General features: G+C 42.1%; 1 protein-coding gene across 29 annotated transcripts in view, besides 1 other annotated feature; it reads left to right on the forward strand.

Moving 5' to 3' along the window:
- Positions 1-12,491, forward strand: part of SYNE2 (spectrin repeat containing nuclear envelope protein 2) — a 464,854-nt gene that overhangs the window by 159,785 nt on the left and 292,578 nt on the right. The window lies entirely within an intron of this gene.
- Positions 12,271-12,440: an enhancer, noted in NCBI's record as "experimental_35093 CRE fragment used in MPRA reporter constructs". NCBI's record gives its function as "activates a minimal promoter by MPRAs in K562 erythroleukemia cells, with activity observed for both the introgressed and non-introgressed 14:64400454 variant alleles {active_cell/tissue: K562}" and the evidence as "EXISTENCE:reporter gene assay evidence [ECO:0000049][PMID:34662402]".

A 12,491-nucleotide genomic window follows, 5' to 3' on the forward strand; every position in this document is an offset into this window, starting at 1 on the left:
CAATTTGTTCCATTGGAGTAGATGAAAATATCTAGAAAAAGAGAAGGGTCTAGGCAGAACATCACACAGATAGAAAAAGCAACACAAGCCCGTAGCAGAGCTTGAGAAGGGATGTCCAGAGAAGTAGGAAGAGACCCAACTGAGTGTGGTATCATGGACCCCAGAGAAGGAGAGTATTTAAAAAAGGAGAGGGTAGGAAACAGTGTCAGAAGTTTTAAGATATCCTATAAGTACCAAGAAGTATCCATTAGGTTCAACAATGGAAATACGTAAGTGGCCTAGGTGAGAATTAGGTAGTGTTTGGGGCAGCCCGAAATATATAAGTGGCCTAGGTGAGAATTAGGTAGTGTTTGGGGCAGCCCAGTTTATAGTGGGTTGAGACATGAGTGGTAGGTAAGGAAGTAAAAATAGCCAGTGTAGACAACTCTTTCAAGAAGTTTGGATTTGAAGGGGAGGTGAGAGATAGGGTAGTAGCCATGGATTTGGCATTTCAGCTGATTTTGAACTATAATGAAAAGAACATGGATTTTGAATCAGACACATCTGGATTTGAATTTCTCCTCCACCAGATGTGAGATCCAGAGCATATTATCCAAGACATAGTAGGCTTTCAATAGATGTTTTGTTTTATTTTATTTTTTGAGACAGGGTCTCACTTTGTCTTCCAGGCTAGAGTACAGTGGCACGATCACGGCTCACTGTGGCCTTGACCTCCCAGGTTCAGGTGCTTCTCCTACCTCAGTCTCTTGAATAGTTGGGACTATAGCTGTGCGCCACCATGCCTGGCTAAATTTTTGTGCTCTTTTTAGAGACAGGGTCTCACCTGGTTGCCCAGGCTGGTATCGAACTCCTGGGCTCAAGTGAACCTCCCACCTCAGCCTCCCAAAGTGCTGAGATTACAGGCACAAGCCCCCAGACCCAGCTTAGATGTTTTATTGAATGAGCAAATAAAATATCCTCCATCTTCTGGGAGGAAGTTTTCTCGTTTATAAAATGCTTACCTGACTACTTTATTGGTAGCCCTTAATGAAATAGTGTCATAGTTCCTTACCTGTGACATTCCACTTATTCCCGGGCCTGACTTGCTTCAGCAAGCCGTCTGAGCCCCTCCAAGTGTTTCTTAAGATAGCCATGTGTTAGGGCTAGGTGCAGTGGCTCACGTGTATAATCCTAGCACTGTGGGAGGATAGCTTGAGCTCAGGAGTTTGAGACTAGCCTGGGCAACATGGCAAGACCCCATCTCTATAAAAAATACTCATGTGTTATAATATTTATTTTGAGATATATTAATATCTCAGAGTTTATCATTTCATCGCTATTTTTTGCCAGGCCCTTCTTATTCCCTGTTGTTTCAAGAGTAAGTCATACATGTAAATTGTCCGATCTATTTAGACAAGTATTTCACAAAGTGAGATATGTGAAGCCCTGAATCAGAATCTCTGGGAGTTGGGATCCAGAAACCTGCACTTAAACAATAACCCTGAGTAATTTGCTGGCATTCCAAAATGTAAGAACCCTGGATTTATAATCACAGCACAGCTCTGTTTAGTGCAGTCTGGTTCTTTTGCACTCAGAAGTCAGAGGTGCTTGGACTGCTGCCCCAGTAGAAAGTGTTCAGGCTCACATACCTTGATTTTTCAAAAGAAAAGTGTTCAGTTTTATGTGGTAGTTAAAAGGTAGCAAGGAGTAACAAATATGTGTTAAAATAAATGTAGTCATTTCTTTATTTCTTCATTCCGTAGATATTTATTGAGCAACTTAGATGAATCAGAAGAGTGTGAGAAGGAGGAGAGACAAATAGCACCCAACTTCTAGACTTTTATCAGTATTGTGGGCTTATTTTCATGTGCTAAAAATACAAGACTTGCTTACGCAGAGAGCCGGGAGCTATGTTCCAGTGAGGGTGGAAACAAAAGCCTCAGTATAAGACTGTCAGGTGTTTACACAAGGGTGTGGTTTGCTCATGTGGCAACACGAGGTTGCTGGACTCCACATGCTGAGGCTCAAAGTAGAAATCACTGATCTTATGTCACATATTTTCCCAACAAACTAAGTACTTAAATCTGTATGTTGATTGAGGAAAAATAACAAACTCCTGCTCCCTCCTTCCCTAGCCATTTAATCATTAATTCAATAAATGTTTTCTAAATTCCTATAGCATGAAAGCTCTGGGGTAGGTGCTGCAGGCAAAATGAGGAGCAAACTCAGACATGGGTCATGTACTGTTGGAGCCCATAAGCTAATGAGGAGGCAGAAGTTGATCAAATAATCTTATAGATATTAGCTAATATTTTATTAAGCTTTATTAAGATATAATTTGACATCAAATTCACATACAATGCAATTCACCCATTTAAAGCATATGATTTAGTAGTTTTCAGTATACTCACAGAGTTGAGCAGTCATCACATTGGATTTTAGAACTTTTTTTTTTTTTTGAGACAGTGTCTCACTGTCACCCAGGCTGGAGTGCAGTGGTGCCATTTCAGCTCACTGCAATCTCTGCCTCCTGGGCTCAAGCAATCCTTTCACTTCAGCTTCCTGAGTAGCCGGGACTACAGGTGTGTGCCACCACACCTGGTTAATTTTTTGTTTTTTTTTATTTTTGTAGAGACACGGTTTCACCATGTTGTCCAGGCTGGTCTTGAACTCCTGGGCTCAAGCAATCCACTCACCTCAGCCTCCCAAATGTTGGGATTACAGGCATCAGCCACTGTGCCTGGTCAAAAAAAGTATTCTTTTCCTACTGACTTTTCTTGGCATGCCTGTCAGAAATCAATTGCCCATAAGTGGAAGAATTTACTTCTAGATTTTCAGTGCTATTCCATTCTTCTATTATATAGATCAACCCATGTGCCAATATTGCACTATCTTGATTACTGTAGCTTTTAGTAAATTTTGAAATTCGAATTGTGTGTCTTCCAACTTAATTCTTTTCAACATTGCTTTAGCTATCCTGAGTCACTTGCATTTCCATATGAATTTTAGGATTAGCTTGTCCAATTCTGAAAAAAAAAATGGCAGCTAAGATTTGATAGGAATTGCATTGAGTCTGTAGATCAAGTTGGAAAGTATTGCCATCTTAACAATATTAAGTATTCTAGTCCATGAATATAGGCTATCTTTATATTTACCTAGATCTTTAAATTTCTTTCAACAATGTTTTGTAGTTTTCATTGAATAAGTCTTGCAGTTCTTTTGTTAAATCTATTGGTAAGTAGTTTATTTGTTTTGATGCCATTATGAATGATATTTTCAAATAGCAATTTCTTGATTTTTTCATTGGCAGTATATAGAAGTACAATTAATTTTTGTATATTTAGCTTGTATCTTGCAGCCTTGCTAAACACATTAGTTTTGGTATATTTTTTGTAGATACAGTAGGATATTCTGCATAAAAGTTCATGTCATTGCCATTAAAGACAATTTAACTTTTTTCCTTCCAGCCTTGGTGTTTTTTTTTTTTTTTTTTTTTTTTTTTTTGCCTTACTCCAGTGCAATGTTGAATGGAAGTGATGGAAGTATACATCCTTGCTTTGTTCCTGATCTTAGAGAGAAAGCATTTAGTTTCTTGTTATTAAATATGTTATTAGTATTTTTTTCTTCATCAGTGTTCTTCATCACATTAAGAAAGTTTTCGGCCAGGTGCAGTGGCTCATGCCCATGATCCCAGCACTTTGGGAGGCTGAGGCTGGTGGATCGCTTGAGCCCAGGAGTTCAAGACCAGCTTGGGCGACATGGTAAAAACCTGTCTCTAAAAATAAATAGATAGATAGATAGACAGATAGCCAGCCAGCCAGGTGTGGTGGCTCATGCCTGTAGTCCCAGCTACTTGGGAAGCTGAGGTGGGAGGATTGCTTGAGCCCAGGAGGCAGAGGTTGCACTGAGCTGAGATCATGCCACTGCACTCCAGCCTGGGTGACGAGTGAGACCCTGTCTCAAACAAAACAAAACTAAACTAAACTAAAAAGTTTTCATCATTCCCTTTTTATTTTTTATTTTTGTGAATACGTAGTAGTTGTATATATTTATGAGTTACATGAGATATTTTGAGATAGACATGCAATGCATAATAATCATATCTGTATCCATTACCCCAAGCATTTATCCTTTGTGTTTCAAACAATCCAGTTATACTCTGTAAGTTATTTTAAACTGAGCAATTGCATTGTTTTTTTTACCATAGTCACCCTGTTGTGCTAGCAAATACTAGGTCTTCTTTATTCTTTGTAACCATTTTTGCACCCATTAACTATCTACTCTTCCCCTCTACCTGCACCTCCAACTACCCTTCCCAGCCGCTGGTAACCATTCTTCTACTCTCTATCTCTATGAGTTCAGTTGTTTTAATTTTTAGCTTCCACAGATAAGTGAAATCATGTGACGTTCTTTCTGTGCCTAGGTTATTTCACTTAACGTAATTACCTTCAGTTCCATCCATGTTGTTACAAATGACAGACTCTCATCCTTTTTTTTCTTTCCTTCTTTTTTGGGATAGGGTCTCACTTTGTCACCCAGGCTGGAGTGCAGTGATGTGATCTCGGCTCACTGCATCCTCTGCCTCCTGGGCTCAAGCGATCCTCCCACCTCAGCCCCCCAAACAGGTGCGCGCCATGACACCTGGCTAATTTTTCATATTTTTTTGTGGAGACCTGGTTTCACCATGTTGCCCAGACTGGTCTTGAACTCCTGAGCTCAAGCGATCTGCCCACCTCAGCCTCCCAAAGTGTTAGGATTACAGGTGTGAGCCACCGCACCTGGCTAGGATTTTAGAACATTTTTGTCACCCCAAAAAGAAACCCCATACCTTTTAACTGTCACCCCTCCCCAATCCCACCCCCATCTCCACCTCCAATCTCACCCCCAGCCCTAGGCAATCAATTAATCTACTTTCTGTCTCTACGAATTTCCCTATTTTGGGCATGTCACATAAATGGACTCATATAATATGTGGTGTTTTGTGACTGGTTTCTTTGACTTAGGATAATGTTTTCAAGATTCAGCCATATTTATTTGTGTAGACTAAACGTAGTCTATGCCAGGGATTGACAAACTTTTTCTGTAAAGGGCCAGGTAGTAAATATTTCAGTCTGTGAATGCCATGTGGTCTCTCTTACAACTACTAACTCTGCCATTGTAGCATGAAAGCACCCACAGGCAATGCACAATCAAGCATGTGGCTGTTCCAATAAAACTGTATTTACAAAAGCAAGCAGCAGGTCAAATTTGGCTTGTGGGCAATAGTTTGCTGACCTCTGGTCTAAGTCAGTAGGGGTACTTAATCCTCCTAGTAACCCGATGAAGTAGATACTATTGTCCCCATTTTCAAATAAGACTGAGGCACACAGCTAGTAAGTGGGAGATAAGGGGGTCCCACACAAGTAGTCTGTCTCCACAGCCAGTGTTCTTAACCTTGTCATTGATTACAGATTGAGCTAAGTGCTAAATAGTGGGGAAATCCCCCCATGACTCTATGAAAGCAAATGAAAGACTTAGATTGACTTAGGTTTTCTTCTGGATGCAACACTTGAGCTCAGACCTAAGCATGACTAGAAGTTAACTGGTGAAGTGAATAGGGGTGGGGTGCTACAAATGCCTGTGGCAGGTGGGAACATAGCTTGTAAAGGTCCTGAAAGAAGGCGGGAGTGGCTGGAGCCAGGGGTGTAGGAGAGAGTAAGATGCCTGAGGCTAGAGAGGTGCTCTGGGGCCCACACAGCGCCTCCTAGGCTCTGTTAAGGATTTTGCTCATGTTGCTAAGAGCAGAGAGAAACCATCTAACAATCGAGTAATTCGGGTAAGTTTGGGACAGATTGGAATGGCGCAGGCAGACTTGGTTGGCCATGGAAGCATTCCAGGGTAGAGTTGATGGTAGATTGAAGAGGAGAGGCCAGATGCAGTGGCTCATGCCTGTAATCCCAGCACTGTGGATGGCTGAGGCAGGAGGATAACTTGAACCCAGGAGTTGGAGACTAGCCTGGGCAACAAAGTGAGACCCCATCTGATATGGTTTGGCCATGTCCCCACCCAAATCTCATCTTGAATTGCGCTCCCGTAATTCCCACGTGTTGTGGGAGGGACCCAGTGGGAGATAATTGAATTGTAGGTGCAGCTTCCCCCATACTATTCTCGTGATAATGAATAAGTCTCATGAGATCTGATGTTTTTATAAGGAGTTTCACTTTTGCTTGTCTCTCATTCTCTCTTGTCTGCCACCATATAAGACATGCCTTTCGGCCGGCGCTGTGGCTCATGCCTGTAATCATAGCGCTTTGGGAGGCCGAGGAGGACGGATCACGAGGTCAGGAGATTGAGACCAGCCTGGCCAACATGGTGAAACCCCGCCTCTACTAAAAATACAAAAATTAGCCAGGTGTGGGGTCGCGCGCCTGCAGTCCCAGCTACTCGGGAGCCTGAGGCAGGAGAATTGCTTGAACCTGGGAGGCAGAGGTTGCAGTGAGCCGAGATCACACCACTGCACTCCAGCCTGGGCGACAGAGCGAGACTCCATCTGAAAAAAAAAAACATGCCTTTCGCCTTCTGCCATGATTGTTAGGCCTCCTCAGCCATGTGGAACTGTGAGTCCATTAAACCTCTTTTTCTTTATAAATTACCTAGTCTTAGGCATGTCTTTATCAGCAGCATGAGAATGGACTAATATACCATCTCTATAAAAAGTAGGAAAAAAAAAAAGACTCAGCAGTAGGGCTGGGGGGCCAAGATGTATAGAGAAGGAAGTAGATACCAGAGCTATGAGGGGGCAAATTTGGCAGGATTTGGTGGTAGGTTATATTTGAGAATGATAAAGGTTGGGGGTGTCCAACCCATGTGATGGGAACATGGGCAAGGACTGGACTGGGGAGAGATAGGGCGGTAGAGTATGATTTTAGTCTTGGAATGCTGAAGTTGACAGGCACGTACTTTTTTCCCATAGTGATAACGTAAATTCTTCAGAGGGGGACATGTGTGACATAAAGTAATTGTGAGGTTGAGAAATGGTTGCTCACTGTGTTTATCAGTTATGTTAGCCAGGAGTTACCTCCTAAACTCATTCTATTGATTCAATAAGTGAGAGCTTAGTCTTGGTACTATTTGTTTTTGTTTCTTACTGTTTGTCTGTTTATGGTTGGTTGCAAGAAAATTGTGTTGTAAATTATCCCTTGCTTTCTCTATTAGTTAATAGCCTTCCCCTTCTGTAGTAAAGTAACAGGCTTTTTCCTGTTCAAATATTTTAGGCTTGTTTTTTGTTTTGATTGTACATGCCTGTGTGTTTTTATTCCTTAATTTGTTTCTTTATTTATTTCTGTTTGTTATCTCCAAGAGAAACAATAGAAGAGGTGGCTTTATATTTTTAGTTCTCTTTCTGTCAGATGACAGCTTGATTAAGATTTTTTGGGTGGGCTGTTGGAACACATGGCTAAAATATGTTGCATTATTGTCTGAATTTAATTATCATCCTTACCGTGTCCGTCCTAGCTAACAGTGAGTTGGCAGTATTGTTGTGGGGAATGGCAACAGGGTCTCATTAGCACATGCCTGTGACATAATAAGAAATATATATTTGGTCTCTGCCCCTGGTTCCTGGCACAGAGCTCCTAAAACCCTTGTAATTTCCTGAACCACAGGGATGTTAGGAACATCTTTTGTTCTAATATTTGATCTTGGCTCTGGTTCCTGACACAGAGCTCCGAAAGCCCTTGGAATTTCCTGGGTGATAGGACCATCTTTTGTTCTAATGAGGCCACTCTTGATGGGCTCCTAGATAGCTTCAGGATGGAGTCTGGTTACCAGAAAGACCAAGCCATGATTAGAAATTTGGAACTCTTCCCACCTCCATCTTCTAGAGGGGTGAGAAGAGCTGGAGATTGAATTAATAATTCATTATGTTTATGTGATGAAGCCTCCATAAAAATCTCTAAAGTGCAGAGCTAAAAAAATCTGTATCCTATGGAAATTCTAGTGGGAAAGCCATACAATATACCAATAACAAATAAGTAATATAGTATCATTTACACATTGTAAATCTAAAGAAGAAAGTAAATAGGATAATATGATAAAGAGTAATTGGATGGAGGGTATTTTGGATAATGTGTCTGAAAAATTTTCTCTGAGGCCAGCCGCTGTGGCTCATGCCTATAATCCCAGCACTTTGGGAGGCCAAGGCGGGTGGATCACCTGAGGTCAGGAGTTCAAGACCATCCTGGCCAACATGGTGAAACCCCGTCTCTACTAAAAATCCAAAAATTAGCTGGGCGTGGGGGTGGGCGCCTGTAATCCCAGCTACTCGGGAGGCTGAAGCAGGAGAATTGCATGAACACGGGAGGCGGAGGTTGCAGTGAGCCGAGATCGCGCCGTTGCACTCTGGCCTGGGCGACAAGAGTGAAACTGTCTCAAAAAAAAAAAAAAATTTTTTTTTTCTCTGTAGAGATATTCGACTGAAGGCATCAGGATGAGCCAGCCATATGAAATGCAAGTAGAAAATGTATTCCAGAATTCCAGGTTAAGGAAACAGCAATTACAGAGGCAAACATGTCATGAAATGAAGTTTTAGAGGTAGGCAGGAGCCAGATTACATAAAGCTATGGGCCATGATTATGGTTTGGATTTTAAAATACAATGAGATGGGGTCAGACATGGTGGCTCATGTCTGTAATCCTAGTGCTTTGAGAGGCTAAGTTGGGAAGATTGCTTGAGGCCAGGATTTCGAGACCAGCCTGGATGACATAGGTAGAACCCTGTCTCTACAAAAAATGAAACAAGTTAGCTGGGCATGGTGGCATTTGCCTATGGTCCAGCTACTCAGGAGGCTGAGGTGGGAGGATCACTTGAGCCTCGGAGGTTGAGGCTGCAGTGAGCCATGGTCGCACCACTGCATTCCAGCCTGGGCCATACGGTGAGACCCTGTCTCAAAAAAAAAAAAAAAAGCAATGAGATGGTTGTACAGCTTTGTGAATTATACACTTTAAAAAGTGAATTTTATGGTACATGAGTTATATTTCAATAAAACAGTTGTTAATTTTTAAAAAAAATTCTCCAAAGTGTAGTTTGGAGACCTTCTGGGTTTGTGAACACATTCATGTGCTGGGACCCTTCCAGACCTTGCCCTCTGTACACCTTCATCTGGCTGCTCATCACTATCCTTTATCATTATCCTTCTTTTTTTTTTTTTTTTTAAAGACAGAGTCCTGCTCTCCTGCCCAGGCTGGAGCGTAGTGGTGCAATCATAGCTCACTGCAAACCTTCGCCTCCCAAGTTCAAGTGATTCTCCTTCTTCAGCCTCCCAAGTAGCTGGGATTACAGGTGCCCACCACCACGCCTGGCTAACTTTTTGTATTTTTAGTAGAGACAGGGTTTCACCATGTTGACCAGGCTGGTCTCAAACTCCTGACCTCAGGTGATCTGCCCACCTTGGCCTCCCAAAGTGTTGGGATTACAGGCGTGAGCCACCACACCATATAATAAACAAGCAAACATAAGTGTTTCCTTGAGTTCTGTGAGAGCCATTATAGCAAATTATTGAACCTGAGGAGGGGATCCGGGGAACCCCTGATTTATAGCCAAGTCAAACAGAAATTTGGGTAACCTGGAGATCAACTACCTGTGATTGGCATCTGAAGTAGGGGAGAGTCTTGTGGGACTGAGCCCTTAACGTGTGGGGTCTGCACTAACTCCAGGCAGTCATTGTCATCATAGAATAGAGGACACCCACTTGGTATCTGGAGAGCTGGAGAATTGCTTAGCGTTAGGGAAAAACTCACACATTTGGTATCATAAGTGAAGTATTAAGAGTTGTAATACAGAAAAAGAGTGCTTTTCTTCCATAATGCCTTTTGTTCAAGACGTTTTATTAGTAGAAGAAACAAATTGCCTAGGGGTTATTAAAATAAGGATTGGCCAGGCGCAGTGGCTCACGCCTGTAATCCCAGCACTTTGGGAGACCGAGGCAGGTGGATCATGAGGTCAGGAGTTTGAGACCAGCCTGGCCAACATGGTGAAACCCCGTCTGTACTAAAAATACAAAAATTAGCCGGGCGTGGTGGAGGGCACCTGTAATCCCAGCTACTCAGGAGGCTGCGGCAGGAGAATCACTTGAACCTGGGAGGCGGAGGTTGCAGTGAGCCGAAATCATACCATTACACTCCAGCCTGGGCTACAAAGCGAGACTCTGTCTCAAAAAAAAAAAAAAAGAAAGAAAGAAAGAAACAAAAAGAGAAGACATAGGCCTAGTATAACTGTTGCCAATAAATTCTTTTCCTCCATCTAATAAGTAAGTTTTATCCTTAATACCTTTAGTATTTCGTAAGTCTTTCAATCAGCAAATATTTATTGAGGATGTTTTTTTCTACATTACACTGCTGAGGGGAAGCAAAAACACAAAAGCACAAAGGTTTAACTCCAAGTTCTCATGTTGAGTAGGAGGGAAACCTATAACTTATGTACCAGAAGTTCAAGTTATAGTCTTGAACTCCTCCTGGACTCCACTGATCCTCCCACTTCAGTTTCCAGAGTAGCTGGGTCTATAGGCATTTACCACCATGCCTGGCTCTAAGATTAGCTTTTAATTTCTATCTTATATCCCTTTTACTGTTTGAAAAATTTTTGTAAGCATTACAGATTACTTTGTAATAGTAATAAGCGGAAAAGATTCAACAAAGTATTGTCAGAGGCCAGAGCCAGAGTGGATTATTTCTATTAATTTTAAGAAAGGGGATTTTGGGGCCAGTTGCAGTGGCACACACCTGTAATCCCAGCACTTGGGAGGCCAAGGCAGGTGGAGCACCTCACCTGAGGTCAGGAGTTCAAGACCAGCCTGGCCAACGTAGTGAAACCCCCGTCTCTACTAAAAATACAAAAATTAGCTGGGCGTGGTGATGAGTGCCTGTAATCCCAGCTACTTGGGAAGCTGAGGCAGGAGAATCACTTAAACCCGGAAGGCGGAGGTTGCAGTGAGCCGAGATCGTGCCATTGCACTCCAGCCTGGGTGACAAGAGTGAAACTCCATCTCAAAGAAAAAAACAAAACAAAACAAAAAAGAAAGGGGACTTTTGGCTGTCTGCAGTGGCTCATGCCTGTAATCCCAACACTTTGGGAGCCTCAGGTGGGTGGATCGCCTGAGCCCAGGAGTTCAAGACCAGCCTGGGCAACATGGCAAAACCCCGCCTCCATAAAAAAATACGAAAATTAGGTGTGGTGGCACACACCTGTAGTCCCAGCTACTGGGGAGGCTGAGATGGGAGGATCACTTGAGCCGTGGAGTTCCAGGCTGCAGTGAGCTGTGATTGTGCCACTGCACACTCCAGCCTTGGTGACAGAGTTGAGACCCTATCTCCAAAGCAAAAAAGGGGTGTGGAACTTTTAAACTGGTTATGTCCAATTATAATAAATGATGATAGAATGCCCACATGTGCTGGGTGCCGGCGTTTCTATGAACGCAGAGAGATGGGGAAGAGTGGCCATTCCATAGAGTATGTAGAGTGGCGATGCAGAAAAGGGTGAAACGTCGTTGGCGAATTGTAGCTATCCTAGTTTAGCCAGAGAAATAGGATATGGGTAGAGAAGTCGTGGAGCCAAGTTACAAATGACCTGGAATGTTAGGCTAAGAATTGATCATTTTTTCAGTAAGGAATTAGGGAATGATCAAACAATTTTCATAAGGAGAGTGAAAGATCAAAGTAATGAATCTAGGGCCACATGCAGTAAACCTGTTATTAATAATCCAATCATAGGAGGAGAAGAAGAGAAATTCTTTGATGAGAAGAGGTCGCAAGGCTTCCTCATAGAGTAGAGAACACTCTTGGAGATGCCACATTTTAATCCTGCATCGCTCTGCATTTAAGTGAAACTGAAAGCTAGTGATTCTTAGCCTCAGGTAACTGCTTCTGAACTCTTACTACCAGGGAGGACTCCTGGAGTCAGCATTTTAAACCAACTTTTGGGAAATGACCTTGCTGAGACTTAGTAGCCATGGTAGTTTCATAATGAGCTTTAAAATGAAAATCCACACCCTTTAATTAGCTTAACTCACTTTGCTTTCAGTTTAGTTCCCTTCTGGCTAAGGATATGAGTTGCCCGCTCACAAAAGCAGACTGAATCAGAACAAACTCAGGGATTAAATGTATTTTTATGGTAATGACACCTAGAGAAAAATCTTTGCCTTCTGTGCCTCATTTCTCAAATTCAGGCAAATATTTTTCAAGGATGATAATTAAGGATACTCATATGGGCCTGAATAAAATTCACTGACCACATTTTCCTACATTATGTATATATATTTGCCTGAAAAATCAAGATAGAGAATTTCTTATTCTCTATTCCCTTAGCTTTTTTACAGAATTCATCATTGTAGTAGATTGTATTATTCTCTTTATTTCTTTGCTTTTTCTATCCCTAACATCTGCTGATTAAAAGGTCCTATTCTCTACATGCCATTCTAAGAAGAGTTTTATTAAGTTGCTATAAGCACGTGGCTCTCAATTACTTTTTCCCCAATGGGT

Source organism: Homo sapiens, chromosome 14 (genome assembly GCF_000001405.40).
Source record: "Homo sapiens chromosome 14, GRCh38.p14 Primary Assembly".
Classification (NCBI taxonomy): Eukaryota; Metazoa; Chordata; class Mammalia; order Primates; family Hominidae; genus Homo; species Homo sapiens.